Source organism: Homo sapiens, chromosome 17 (assembly GCF_000001405.40).
Source record: "Homo sapiens chromosome 17, GRCh38.p14 Primary Assembly".
NCBI lineage: Eukaryota > Metazoa > Chordata > Mammalia > Primates > Hominidae > Homo > Homo sapiens.
This window is the reverse complement of record NC_000017.11, coordinates 62,249,033-62,264,496: the sequence shown is the minus strand read 5'-3', so window position 1 is coordinate 62,264,496 and position 15,464 is coordinate 62,249,033. Positions and strand designations below refer to the sequence as shown.

Genomic DNA, 15,464 nt, shown 5'->3' with positions numbered 1-15,464 from the left:
TGGGAAACCTAGGTGGACCCGGTCTCTAGAGAAAAGTCAAAGAAATTAGCCAGGCATGGTGGCGCGTGCCTATAGTCCCACCTAGTCAGGAGGCTGAGGCAGGAGGATTGCTGGAGCCCACGAGTTCCAGGAAGCAGTGAGCCATGATTGCACCACTGCACTCCAGCCTGGGTGACAGAGTGAGACTTTATCTCTTAAAAAAATTTAAGAAATTTAATGTGGGTACAATTCTATTAACTAAATAATAATGTGAACTATTATCTAAGGTTATGAAGGCTAGAATTATCCCATTTTTGCCTAACTTCTCGTACCTGTCCCAAGATCCCACCTTGGACTCACCCTCTGCCTTCTGCTCATGTCTCTTCAGCTTCCTCCACATGGTCCAGCAAACACACACCTGGGCTGAATGGTAGAGCTGATTGCTCATACACAAAGGTAGACCGGTGGGCAGGGATTTTCAGACTTATACAGTCAATGAGTTTTCCTTGGTGTTCTGGAGAGCACCGTTGAGAAACACTTTGACAGTGAATCTAGGCCTCAGGATCCATCAGCTGCTCTAGCTTGAATTTTGCTCAAGCTCAGTGAACACCTGCTCTGCCGGGTGCACGTGAAAGGGGCAAGGATGAGTAAGCTGTAGATAAAGAAGACAGGACGCAGGGGGTCTGTCTAAGCTCTATCCCCTGCCTTCAGCACTGAGGGATGAAATCCAACTCTTAGGGAACGGTGGCCACGTGCTGGGCCAGCCCCAGGCTCTCAGGATCTGACAGTGAGTGACGCAGAACCAGGCCTTGCCCCTGGGGAGCTCTCCAGCATACACCTCCCTCTCCCCTCCCAGCGTCCCGCAAAGCAGACGTCAACGCCATTGTTAATGCACAGAGGAGGAACCTGACTGTTAGACCTGGGTTTTCCAGGGTTGCACGGCTTCTGGGAGACGGATGTGACCCTGAGGACAGGGCACAGGCCAGTGTAATGCCAGGATGGAATGAGCTGTGATCTGTGCTGCACAGAGGCCTAGGCCAAGGTGGGACTGACGGATGACCAGGTCAGCCGGGTCACTGAAAACACTCTTGGGTCCTCACCTGCCGGTTCCCAGGAGTCCGGAACTGCCAGGAGAGTGGTGGCAGGTCCCCCATCCTCAGCTGGGTGGGCCTGGATAGAACAGCAAGGCGAGGGCACATTTCCCTGGCCGTTCCCTCCAGGCACAGCTGTGACCTGCTCATTCCAATTTTGGGGAAATATTTCCACACACACAGAACTGCAAAGAGCAGTGGACATGGTGAGAGGCGTTTGGACATGGGATAGGCAGGATTTTGGAGGCAGAGCCCCCAGGGCTTGCCGATGGGTTAGCTGCAGGGCTTGAGCGGGGAAGGAGAATCCAGGATGATGTGTTCACATCGGTCCATTCACCCCTTCCATTCCACGCCTGTGCTGGGCACTGGGAGAGACAGATGCGCACAGGAGCCCCGGCCGAGGGGAGGTGTGGGGGGAAGCCCAGAGTGTCTGGGCAGGGTAGGAAGCCCAGAGTGTCTACTGGGAGCTGAAGGCTTAGGTCCACCTGGGTGCCGTCCAGGTTCTCTGCATGTAGAAGTATAGGCTGAGCTGCCTGGAGGAGGAGCAGCTGCTGTTGCTGGTGACCAGCACGTTCAGGAACGGAGACTACTCTGTCAACAGACAGGGGGATGACCTGAGGTCTGGATGGTCTAGGGGGTGGTAGGGCCCAGGAGCACCCAGGAAAGGGTCTCGGGGATGCAGAACATCCTATGGAGGGCATTTGGGAGTCAGTGCTCAGGTCAGTCCGGGTCACTCAGGTCATTTGCCGGCCCCTGTCATAATTATTGCCATATGAGAGTGCCACCCATCCTATGACATATTTTATATATTTCTGTGAATGGCCTACTTGTTTGTATTTATGAATTTATGTTTAAAGGATGGGCAGGGGTGCTCGAGAGTTCCCCAGGAGTTTCCCTCTGGGGAGAGAGGGGCCCACCCCTTCCCAGCAGCCCTCTGAGCCCCCTGATCGCTTGGCCACAGCCTCTGCCTGGAGAAAGCATCTCCCTCGGAGATATATGGACATCAGAAGAAACCTTTCTCTGTCACCAGGACAAATCCTGTTCTTATTTGAACCAAGGCCAGTTTTCCTAATGAATGCAGGGAGGACAGCGCAGATCAATTAAACCAGCAGATAATCCACAAGACTGTTTCCCAGAGCTGGGAAATTTCCTTCCCTGCCAACACTTTTCCTGAAAGTTCTTAAGAATGAGGCAAACAGTTTAAGTCTCTCTTGCACTGTTCTTTTAGTGAAAGAGTTCAATGAGGAAGGAGAGGAAGTGGAGCATATGCTTAGTTTCCAAGCTGGAAAAGTGGCCCATGGTTAACCAAGACTAGATGTAAAAGCACAGGTGGCCGCGGGTCCAGGTGAGCTGGTCCTACGATGGCATGGCTGCTAATGCCAGCAGATGCTCCTGTCCTCTCCTTTCAAAGACTGACTTCTTCTGGTCTTTCATTCGTTAAAATAAAATTGACAGGGCATCATCCGAGAAGCTCTACACTTTCCCTTACTTGGATTTCAGACTCTAGATTCTGCTGAGATTTGAGCTTCATGGTGAACACATTCTTGGTGTGCTTGCTGCTGAGGGGTGTGGAGGACAGAGAGATGGTGAAATGGCAAAGTGGCTCTTGAGCATGGGTGGGGGAAGCCCCCACATGTCTGAGTCAGTGCCACCTGGACACTACCCTTGGAGCATCCTGCTGAGGTGGCCATTCGGGTTTTCTTTCCTTTCCTTTTATTCCACTGTTTCTGAATCACAAATAAAGATCCAAGGCAAACAGCACATTCAGATCCCCAAGCTCTCCACCTCCAATGTGACCAGGGACGTGCACCACTTCAGGCTCATGCAGGACCCACAGCCTTTGGACCTCAGCTAAGGGACCTGCTTCTCTTCAGCACACGGGGCTTGTTTGTGTTAGGGTCTGAGCCCTGAGCGCATGGTCAAGGAGACCCCCAGGTCTTTCTGAACAGAGACAGCTGGCCTGGCGGCCTCCCTCTCACTGCATGCAAGAGTCTGTTAGGGCAGCTGTCTTGCTTCTATGTGTTGGGAAATTCAATTTAGGTACCTAAAAATGAAAAGTCCCAGGACATCTCCATGGCTTGGGATCCACAGGAGAGCATCATTGATGCTGGGGATAACTTAAACATATAGAAACCCGCAGGGCTACCTTAGACAGGGCACAGGGCACAGCACCCGGGGATGCAGAGTGGAAAGTTCACCACTACAGCCTGGAATTGCCTCTGTGATGCCTTCTTCATGACACTTGGCTGCCTTCGTGGCTGGAAGGCTGAGGCCCAGATCCCAACATGGCCACAGGCTAGCAGCTTGCTTTACCTTCCTGAACTGCAATTTCTCCATCTGAGCCTTTCTCCTAAGAGGAGTGTGCAGGGTCACTTAGCCCATATGGGCCAGAAACCCCACACGGTGCCAGGCACACAGTAGGCCCTCGGCAGATGCTGCCCCCTTCTGTCTCCACCACCCTCCTGGGGCTCCCTCCTGAAACAGCCTCCCTCAGTGCCTTGAGTCTTGCACCCTAACAGCCTCTTGCATGCAGTGAGAGGGAGGCCCCCAGGCCAGCTGTCTCTGTTCAGAAAGACCTGGGGGTCTCCTTGACCATGGCTCAGGGCTCAGACCCCAACACAAACAAGCCCCGTGTGCTGAAGAGAAGCAAGTCCTTTAGCTGAGGTCCAAAGGCTGTGAGTCCTGCATGAGCCTGAAGTGGTGCAGGTGCCTGGTCACACTGGAGGTGTAGAGCTTGGGGATCTGAATGTGCTGTTTGCCTCGGACATCAAACATCTCACAGACTGCCTGGAAGAAGGTGGAGCAGACTGGGGTTAACGGTCAGCAGCAGCAGCATCCCCATCACTGGGGCTATCACTTTTTAGGCCCTTACCATGGGCCAAACACTGAGCCGTGTGCTTCGTGTAACTTCTAAGCACGCTTACCTGATAGGGTGACAGCAAAGACTCGAAGAGGTGCCTGGGCTTGGCACATAGTAGCTATTGCTACTATTATGAATGTTGTTTTGTCTTTGTTTTTGTTTTGAGACAGGGCCTCACTCTGTTGCCCAGGTTGGAGTACAGCAGTGCCATCATAGCTCACTGAAGCCTCAACCTCCCTGGGTTTGAGCAATCCTCCCACCTCAGCCTCCCAAGTAGCTGAGACTACAGGTGTGCGCCACCAAGCCCAGACAATTTTTTGTATTTTCTGTAGAGACTGGTCTTGCCAAGTCGCCCAGGCTGGTTTCGAACTCTGGGGTTCAAGCAATCTGCCCACCTCAGCCTCCCAAAGTGCTGGGATTACAGGCGTGTGCCACTGCGCCCGGCCATTATGAATGTCAATATTGACATGATCTTGTATCCTTATGCCCACACTGGGAGAGGTCTGATTGTCCCCATGTTCCTGGTGTGGAACCACATGGAAGAGGCCTATGTTATCCCAACAGTGCAGAAGCACAGCCTGAGTCTCTTCTTTGGCTGAGCCAAGGGCGTGCTGGAGAGGCCTGAGAGAAGAAGGAGCGGCCCTTGTGACCAGTGCCCTTTTGGTTCACAAGGAACGTCTCCTCTTGTTGAAGTGACTTGGCTGAGCTTGCTACTTCTGCTTTGAGAGTCAAATATCAGGATCAAGACTTTAATTATCCCCAATTTACAGGTGATGAAACCATATTGGGCAGGAAAGAAAGTCACCCCAGGAGAGCAAGTTGGACCTGAGCACTGACTGAGGACAAAGGGGAATGATAATTTGGGATGTAGCTTGTTAAGGGGTCTCACAAGTGTTCTTGTGATCCAGGTGTCGAGAGGATACAGCAGAAAGGTTGCCAGGGAGATGAGGGTAGGGTACACCGCAAGAGTGGGAGAAATTAAAGAGAACACGCAACAAAGCCTTGGGACACTGGGAGCCTGGGATGGACCACCCTGTTTTGTGCTATGGGAGAAGACAGCAAGAAGAGGAATCTGTGAATCTGTGTTAAATCCCGAGAGCCTGCAGGAGAAGCAAATGCCCTTCATTTTCTTCATCAGCGGCGAGACTGGCATCCCTGCAGCTTTGGGAAACCATGCTAGTGTAGATGCCAGCTCACGCCAGCGGGCCTGACTGGGAGACCTTGGGCTGGCGTTCTGGTCTGGGGCTCCTAGGCCTGATGGGAGGAGAGTTCAGCCCCAGGTTTCCTGTACTTCAGCTCATATCCAGACAATGGTAATTATTGAAATGAGAGACTCAAAAGAAGATGGAACGTGAACTTTTTTGTTGTCCCATGTGGACACCTGTGTTCAGTTTCCAGTTCTACCTCTTGCTGTCTGTGTGTTCTTAAGTAACTCACTTAAACCTTTCTGAGTCTCATTTTCTTCATTTATAAAATAAAAGACATAACATTTATGTCAGATATTGTCCTGAGGATTAAATGGGAGAATGAACAAGCCTCTTCTGCATTCCCCTGGCATCCAGTGGGTGGAGGCCAGAGAAGGTGCTAAACATCCTGCCAGGTGCAGGACAGCCCCCATCACAAAGAATTGACTGGATCCTGATGTCAGTAAGGCAGAATTGAGGATCCTTGGTGTGGGGGAAAAAGAATAAACTCAGAAGCCTGGCAGATCTCAGTTCAAACCCTGGTTGTATCACCTCTAGCTGAGTGACCTTAGGCAGGTCTGTGAACTCTCTGAGACTCGGCCTCCTCATCGGTAGAATGAGGTAGATAAAAATGCCAAGCTCACCCAGAAATAACCCCGTGCATATATGGTCAACAGATCTTTGACAAGGCCATCAAGGATATACAATGTAGATTCTTTTATTCCTTTACTTTCTTAATAGACTTGCTTTCACTGTACTGTAAAAAAAAAAAAAAAAGCACAATGTAGAAAGGAAACTCTCTTCAATGAATGGTGTTGGGGAAAGTGCATGAAAAAGAATGAAATTGCACACTTGTTTTACATCATATACAGAAAATTAGCTCAAAATGGATTAAAGATTTAAATGTAATATCAGATATTAATTCAGATATTAATGTAATTCAGATATTAAATGTAATTCAGATATTAAATGTAATATCTGAAACCATGTAAATCCTGGAAGTAAACATAGGGAAAAATCTCCTCGACATTGGTCATAATTGGCAATTTTTTTTTGATATAACACCAAAGCACAGGCAACAAAAGTGAAAATAAATAAATGGGACTACATCAATCTTAAAAGGTTTTACACAGCAAAGGAAACCATGACAAAATGAAAAGGCAACCTATGGAATGGAAGAAAATATTTGCAACCCATATATTTGATAAGGGGTTATTTGAAAAAATATAAGGAATTCACACAACTCAATAGCAAAAATTAATAAATACATGAATAACCCAATTAAAAATAGGCAAAGGACCCCAATGGACTTTTTTCCCCAAGGAAGATATACAAATGGCCAGCCAGCATATGAAAAGGTGTTCAACACCACTAATCATCAGAGAAATGCAAATCAAAACCACAATGAGATATTGCCTCATAGGATAGGACGGCTCTTATAAAAAAAACGACAAGAGATAACAAGTGTTGGCGAAAGCATAGAGGAAAGAGAACCCTTGTACACTGTTGGTTGGAATGTAAAGTGGTATAACCTTTACAGAAAACAGTATGGATGTTCCTCAAAAAATTAGAAGCAGAACTACCATACGATTCAGCAATCAGGTTAGAACCTTGAAGAGAGATCTGTGCCCCATGTTTATTACAACACTATTCACAATACCCAAGATATAGAAACAGCCTAAGTGTCCAGCAACAGATGAATGGATAAACAAAATATATATAAACAATGGACTATTAGCCATTAAAAAGAAGAAACTCCTGTCCTGGATAAACCTGGAGGACATTACGCTAAGTGAAATAAGCCAGACACAGAAAGACAAGTTTTGTATGATCTCACTTATATGTGGGATCTAAGAGAGTCAAACTCATAAAAACAGATAGTAGAATGGTGGTTGCCAAGGGCTGGGGTTGGGGAAAATGGGAAGCTATTAATCAAAGGGTATAAACTTTCAGTTATAAGATGAACAAATTCTGGAGATTTCGTGTACAGCATAGGTGGTAATGGATGTAATAAATTTGATTGTGATAATTAGTACACAATATATACATATATGAAATCATCACATTGTATGCATTAAATATACACAATCCTTGTCAACTAAATATTTTTTTAAAAATTTTTAAAATGCCTAGGTCATAAGAATTCTGAGAATGAAATACAACAACATACATGAATGGACCTGCTACAGAGAAGGTGCTAAATAGGTTTGTTTTGTTTTATTTTATTTCAACTCTGGCAGATGTGGACTTATTGGGAAAGAATATAGAATGCACTTGTGCACAAGGATTATCTATACGATGGTTAAATATCCTGCATACATGCCATGTCATTTCTATTCCTCAGTCAATGGATAATAAAAGCAGAACCAGCCTTCTGGTGGTCACAAAACATTTTGACATGAGAAAGGCTGATCATGAGCAATCTGGCAATGTACATCCCAGAGCGTGCATGCCCTTTGACCCACAGCTACCATGATGTCATGTCTAGCAATTAGTCCTAAGGAGATGATCAGAGATGTGTAAAGAGATTTCATTCTAACAGCATCCTCTGTAGTGGTATATGTCAGGGGCTGGTAAGCCATGTCCAGAGGAGCAGGCTGCATCTAGTCCACCACCTGTTTTTGTAAAGTTTATCAGAACACAGTCATGCCCATTCATTTACAAATTGTGTATGGCTTCTTTCCCTGCAACAGCAGAGTTGAGTGTTGCAACAGAAACCTATGGCCTGCAGAGTTTAAAATATCTACCCTTTGGCCTTTTATAAAAAAAGTTTACAGATTCCTGGTGAGTATATTAAAAAGTTAGGAAAACCTAAATCTTCAAGAGTGGAGAATTAGAAAGTAAGACGTGTTGTATATAAGACAGACAGTTTGTGTGTGTGTTTATTTATAAATATATTATTTTGAAATAATGTTGTCGACATATGTTGCAGGTCTTAAAAATTGTTCAATATATAGTGTTAATCAAAAAATGGCAAATTGTAAAATGTAGACAGAATGTGATTGTGTATTTTGTGCATACACCAACAGAAAAGGGTGCTAGGAAACCTGTGGACCAACATACTAAGTGCGGCTCTTTTGATGGTGGTATCATGGATTTTTAAAAATCTTCTTGGTTTTCTGTAGATTCTGACTTTCCTGTAATGAGTATGAATAAGTATGTATTTCTTGAGAAATGTGAAAATAACTTTATCTTCCCAGATTTCTCATAATTGAAAATGTTGGAATAAATGGTCCTGGGACAGATCTTTCCATTGAGAAGGGCAGAAGGGAAACCCTGGGGATTCAGCTGGGTTTCTGTTGCATTTCTAGTAACACACAGTTGTGAAAGGCCAGTGTTGGCCATTCCCCAGGACAGTATGCGGTAGGGGAGGTCAGGATTTAACTACTTGAGGGTCCGGGGAACAGATGTGGCCACAGTCCTTCGTGACTCACTGTTTTCCCTTCCACAGTCCCCGTCTTCTCTTCACTGATGCACATAGATGCCTGACCAGAGGAGAGATTTAGTTTTCATCCGAGGATTATCTGTTATGTTGCAGTTCTGAAATTCCCACAACGTTTAAGCTAGAACACAAGTGATTTCATTATCTCCAATGTGTATGGCTTGATAGAAATATATTCCATTATGTAGCACCTTAAATCCAGATAAAACATAAGGAATTTCTATTCCATGTTGGTATGATCAATGTTAAGAATATAAGAAAATCTAAAAAGAAGCTATTTCCTATATTACAGTATGAAATAAATATGCTGAATGATTTGTTTTGGGGGGTGGAAAGGTGTAAGACTGAGGAGGGTGCCTGTGGGGAACAGTGATAGGAATCCTTTCTTAAGGGTTGGGTTTTACATATGTCTTTTAAAATAGATGATATCATTAATAAATTATCTGTGGGCATCATGAAAAAAGTGTATAATGTACAACTTTATGAGCTTGACAGTTGGTGAAAACTCTTCTGTTTAAAATTTTATTTGGCCCTCCCCAAAAGAAATGTTTATTTATGAGTATTAGGATAGTTCCAGCAGTAATGCCTCAAAAGAACCAGGAGGTATAGTGTTGTCTAAAATGTGGACTCAGGAGCCAGACTGCCTGGCTGTGCAACTAGCCTTGTCACTTCCTAGATATGTGGCAAGTTAATTAACTCCTCAGTGTTCTTATCTGTAGAATGGGGATAATCCTAATATACATCCCAGGGTTATATTAAAAATTGAAAAAGTTAATTTTGTAAAGCATTTAGAATGATATCTGGCAAATAAAAGTGTTTATAAAAGTAAACCCTATAAAAGTGTTTACTCATTAAATACAATAATCTGAAACCATTAGTAATTTAAACATTTGTGGCTGACTTGGTAATATTTATGAAAATAAATACTGTATTTATAATCTTTGACCTTATTTTACTCCTAGGAATTTATTGTCCAGCAAACATTTTCACAGGCAGACAAAAATATTACTATAAAATCATGTTTATTACATCAATCTGTGCAAAAGGAAAAAATAGACAATTAAAATGGCCATCAAAAGGAGTATTGATTAAATGAATGATAGTAAATCCATTCAATAGTAATCATATTATCCAAAAACAATGAGGCATATTCATGTGATGTGGGAAGATCCACGACTAATGTTAAACGGTAAATGATATAAAATGTTATGCCCAATAAAATACTTTCTGTGAGAGAATATATGTTACTTTATGTGAGTGGCGCCAATGTGGAGGGTTTATGCTAATTTCATTATACCTCACAGACAGACCTGGGCTCTCCCACTCATTATCTATGTGGCCTGGGGTAAGTCATTTAACTGCTGTAAGCCTCAGCTTCTGCATCTGTCAGGCAGTGATACCCTGACTACTCTGCAGGGTAACTCTGAGATTTAAACGTGATCATCTCAGAATATGCCTGGCAAACAGTAGGAGCTCAGAACTTGATGTTTTTTTCCTACAGCAAGTGCTGTAGGGGATAGCAGCTAATGCAAGAGGTTGGTAAATCCTTATATATATCAAATATTGTAGAAACATAACTACATGCTACTATTTTTTCAAACCCTCCCCCCACCCCTTTTTTTTCCCTGAGACAGAGTCTCACTCTGTTGCCCAGGCTGGAGTGCAGTGGCGCCATCTCGGCTTGGCTCACTGCAACCTCTGACTCCTGGGTTCAAGCTATTCTTGTGCCTCAGTCTCCCAAGTAGCTGGGATTACAGGCATGTGCCACCATGCCCAGGTAATTTTTTTGGTATTTTTAATAGAGATGGGGTTTCTCCATGTTGGCCAGGCGGGTCTCCAGCTCCTGGCCTCAAGTGATCTGCCTGTCTCGGCCCCCCAAAATGCTGGGTCAAACCTCTTACATCCAGTAAAACAGCCTCACTGGGTCAATGGATATCATGTGGCTGCCTAACATTTTTACTTTATAAAAGGTCTTCCTGAGGCCATTTGAAAGTATGGATCAAAACACTTTATGAACAGGGCCACAGGTTTGCATGAGGCTTGTCAGTGGACCTCCAGGATGAAGACCAAAGTAACTGCGCAATTTCTAGTGGAATAATTTACACTTAAGATCTTATTTATTTATCAAAAGACCGCTGTGAGGTAGGAATTCTTAACCCCAATTTGCAGAAACAGACTTTGCCTGACACCACAGAGCTAGGAAAAAGTGGGCATAAGATCCTCACCAAGTCTGACTTCCAAAAGAAGATTCAAAAAGAAACCTCCTTGCTACCTGCCAAATCTCTGTAGAGCCAGCCATGTTCACACATGAAACAGGACAATGACAATAGCACCAGGAATAGCTACTCCTGGTCAGATGCCCTCATGAGCTCAACTCCGCGGGATGGGGACACTGGGCCCTGCTTAGGGGAAAGGAAGGAGGTTTGTAGAGGAAGCCCAGCCAGCCAAGCAACCAGAGATGGGAAAAACCTATTGGGAAGAACTTGCTTGCTCTAGCTGGGCTTTGCAAAGAACAAGAAAAGATGAGTCTGCACAGACAGAAATGGTCTAGAATGGCTGAATGTTTCATGTAGAAATTTTATTTTATGATTAATACACTCGTGCCATTTCTTGGAACCACTTGCTTGTTTAATTCTAGTCTATCAAGTGATAATTTTGTTGATATTTAGAGGCTCCTCAGTTAATTTCTGTGGGATTTTTGGTTATATTTAATAAGGAAAATAATATGAAATGTCTAAGAAAAAAAGAAACAAAGTCAATTATTCCTGAGAATGTTTAAATTTATTGAAGTACACTTGTTAATTGTTAGTATAGAACCTACATTTCATAATAGAAAACCTTGGACTTGCCAGTTGTAGCTGCTGGAATGAGTGAGGTGTTTGTCCAGTACATCCAGAACGTCGCCACAGATTAACTTTAGCTCAGTCTCAACCTGAAAAAATAAAAATAAATTAAAAAAATCAGATCGTTGAAGTCTAGAAATTCTGTAAATTATTACACATTCTATCTACCTCTGTTTTTGTGGAAGAGAGCTTAGTGTTACAGAGAATTCATTTCCCTCTCCAAACTCCCTTCCTCCCTTTTGACACAAAAGCAGAGAAAAGCTGCCTGTCGGTTATCAAAAGTATCTTTTCCTTCCTGCCTGCAATTAAGTGCTACACACACACACCACCCCCCACCCCAATACCCCCTCACAGTCCAACTGCAGAATCACCAATGACTGAAACTAAACACTGATGCTACTTGGTAAATGCTGGTCAATTACATGAATCTTTCACAAAGTAGCAACTATTGTGTCCATTTACTTGGGAAAACAGAAGCTAAGACATTTGCTCAAAGGTCATCCCTTAAAAGAACTTAATAAGCAGAGCTAGGATTTGAAACCAGGCAGGGTGCAAGGGACAGAACAAAATTCAAACCCAGGCAGTTTGCCTTCAGTACTTACATTCCTAACAAGGTTCAACAGGCAATGCCTTTAGTGGAAGAGACCAAAAACTAGTTAAGATACCAAAAATCTGTGGACCAAAGTAACAATTGCCACTCATTTATATTCATTTATAATGCTAAAAATGTGCACCACCTCTAAAGGCACATACCCAGTTTACTTCTTTTTTTTTTTTTTTTTGAGAGGGAGTCTGGCTTTGTCACCCAGGCTGGAGTGCAGTGGCGTAATCTCAGCTCACTGCAACCTCCACCTCCCGGGTTCATGTCATTCTCCTGCCTCAGCCTCCGGAGGAGCTGGGACCACAGGCGCCTGCCACCAAGCCCAGCTAATTTTTTGTATTTTTAGTAGAGACAGGGTTTCACCGTGTTAGCCAGGATGGTCTCGATCTCCTGACCTTGTGATCTGCCTGCCTCGGCCTCCCAAAGTGCTGTGATTACAGGCATGAGCCACCACACCAGGCCTATTTTTTGTTTTTTAGACAGAGTCTTCCCCTGTCACCCAGGCTGAAGTGCAGTGGCCCTATCTCAGCTCACTGCAGCCTCTGCCTTCCAGGTTCAAGCAGTTCTCATGCCTCGGGCCCCTGAGTAGCTGGGATTACAGGGGTGCGCCACTGTCTCGGGTTAATTTTTGTATTTTTAGTAGAGATGGGGTTTCACCATGTTGGCTAGGCTGGTCTTGAATTCCTGGCCTCAAGAGGTCCACCTACCTCGGCCTCCCAAACTGCTGGATTATAGCCGTGGGCCACACGTGGCCCAGCTCTACTATTTCAATGCAGCTCCTGTACCCTAGGTCATCACTGACTTCCCAGTTGCTGAATCCAGTTGTCTTTACTGAGTTGGTCCTTAATTTAACTTTCTTTTGCATTGAAGCTACTGACTGACCACAGCATTTTGAAACTCTGTTCCTCTTATTACTGTGACTCTACTTTCCTTATTTTTCATCTTATCTCTTAAGTCTGTGGCTTCTCAGACTTCCTCACAATTGATTGCTTATTTTAAAAATTCAAAAATTTAAACCTCCTGAGCAGTTCAAAAACAATATACCTTTGAAATTTTTTAAACTTTTCAGAGTTGCAAGAATAGTTCAGTGATCACCAGTTGTTACCATTTTGCCATATTTTCTTTGTCTGTGTGTCCCTCCCTTTCTACCTGCCCCCACATATATGTGTATCTATGAATATTGACATTTTTTAACATTAATAAATTTTCTTCCTGTACAGTTTGAGAGTTAACTGCAGATTTCATAGCACTTCACCCCTAATTTCTTCTATACATCTCCTAAGAATAAGGGCATTTTTTTTTTTTTTGAGAAGGAGTCTCACTCTGTCATCCAGGCTGGAGTGCAGTGGCGCAATCTTGGCTGACTGCAACCTCCACCTCCTGGGTTCAAGCGATTCTCCTGCCTCAGCCCCCCAAGTAGCTGAGATTACAGGTGCCTGCTATCATGTCTGCCTAATTTTTGTAATTATAGTAGAGATGGGGTTTTGCCATGTTGGCCAGTCTGGTCTCAAACTCCTGACCTAAGGTGATCCGCCCTCCTTGGCCTCCCAAAGTGCTGGGATCACAGACGTGAGACTCCATTCTCAGCCTCTTTTTCCTTTTGTAATTAACAAGTGATCTACGGCATGATAGAAACAGTGTGAATATTCTGTCCCATAATAATCTTTACTTAATGGTTTCATCTGGATTGCTTCTTGCCCAAATCAAATATTACTATAGTGATTAGAAAATGGAGACTTTTCTATTTTTTCTGTATTTTTTCTATATTGTCATTCTTCTGTAAAGATATTTTTATACTCCTTTTTTTTTTTTTTTTTTTTTGAGACGAAGTCTTGCTTTGTCACCAGGCCGGAGTGCAGTGGTATGGTCTCAGCTCACTGCAACTTCCGCCTCCCAGGTTCAGGCGATCCTCCTGTCTCAGCCTCCAGAGTAGCTGGGACTACAGTCATTTGCCACTGTGTCCAGCTAATTTTTTGTATTTTTAGTAGAGATGGGGTCTCACCATGTTGGCCAGGATGGTCTTGATCTCTTGACCCCGTGATCCAGCCACCTCGGCCTCCCAAAGTGATGGGATTACAGGCGTGAGCCACCGCGCCTGGCCCTATACTCCCTTTTTAATTTTTTTTTTTTTTTTGAGATGGAGGTTCACTCTGTTGCCCAGGCTGGAGTGCAATGATGTGGTCTTGGCTCACTGCAACCTCCGCCTCCCAGGTTCAAGCAATTCTTCTGCCTCAAACTCCTGAGTAGCTGGGATTACAGGTACATGCCACCACACTCGGCTGATTTTTGTATTTTTAGTAGGGATGGGGTTTCACTATGATGGCCAGGCTGGTCTTGAACTCCTGACCTCATGATCTGCCCGCCTCAGCCTCCTAAAATGCTGGGATTAAAGGTGTGAGCCACTGCACCTGGCCCTTTTTTTTTTTTTGAGACAGGGACTTCCTCTGTTGCCCAGACTTGAGTGCAGTGGTATGATCATGGCTCACCACAGCTTGGACGCCAGGCTGCCTCAGCTCACTGCAACCTCTGCTTCCCGGGTTCCAGTGATTCTCGTGCCTCAGCCTCTGGAGTAACTGGGAGTACAGGTGCCCACCACCATACCTGGCTAATTCTTGTATTTTTAGTAAAGATGAGGTTTCACCATGTTGGCCAGGCTGGTCTCAAACTCCTGGCCAACATGGTGATCCACCTGCCTTGGCTTCCCAAAGTGCTTCATATTGTTAGCCCTAATTCTAGTCAAATTCCATAGCGTTCTTCTTCTTTATTTTTATTTTTTTATTTTTGAGATGGAGTCTTGATCTGTCCCCCAGGCTGGAGTGCAGTGGTGTGATCTCGGATCACTGCAGCCTCCACCTCCCGGGTTCAAGCAAATCTCTGCCTCCACCTCCTGAGTAGCTGGGATTACAGATACCTGCCACCATGCCCAGCAAATTTTTGTATTTTTAGTAGACACAGGATTTCATCATCTTGGCCAGGCTGGTCTTGAACTCCTGACCTTGTGATCCACCCACCTCGGCCTCCCAAAGTGCTGGGATTACAAGCGTGAGCCACCGCTCCCGGCCACATTCTTCTTTCAGTTCATATTTGGATATCCTTTTTTTCTACAGTGAGAACTCTGGTAACATAAATAAATGCAGTCATTTGTTCAGTTGTACAATATATGCATAATGAAAATTATGATACCAATAGTATTTCCAGCTACAAACCTACTAAGTTTAACGTTTCTTTGCAATTTTTTGTGTGCTTACATATGGGCCCCTACGGGTGTGCAGTCTAAAATTACTTAAGTAGCTTTTTCTCACCGCGCACAGTGGCTCACGCCTGTAATCCCAGCACTTTGGGAGGCCAAGGTGGGCAGATCATGAGGTCAGGAGTTCAAAACCAGCCTGGCCAACATGGTGAAACCCCATCTCTACTAAAAATACAAAAATTAGCCGGGCATGGTGGCAGGCGCCTGTAGTCCC

General features: G+C 44.5%; 1 annotated feature.

Moving 5' to 3' along the window:
* Window positions 472–971: an enhancer, noted in NCBI's record as "H3K4me1 hESC enhancer chr17:60340887-60341386 (GRCh37/hg19 assembly coordinates)". NCBI's record gives its function as "activates a minimal SCP1, AML or CMV promoter by ChIP-STARR-seq in primed H9 embryonic stem cells {active_cell/tissue: H9 hESC(primed)}" and the evidence as "EXISTENCE:reporter gene assay evidence [ECO:0000049][PMID:30033119]".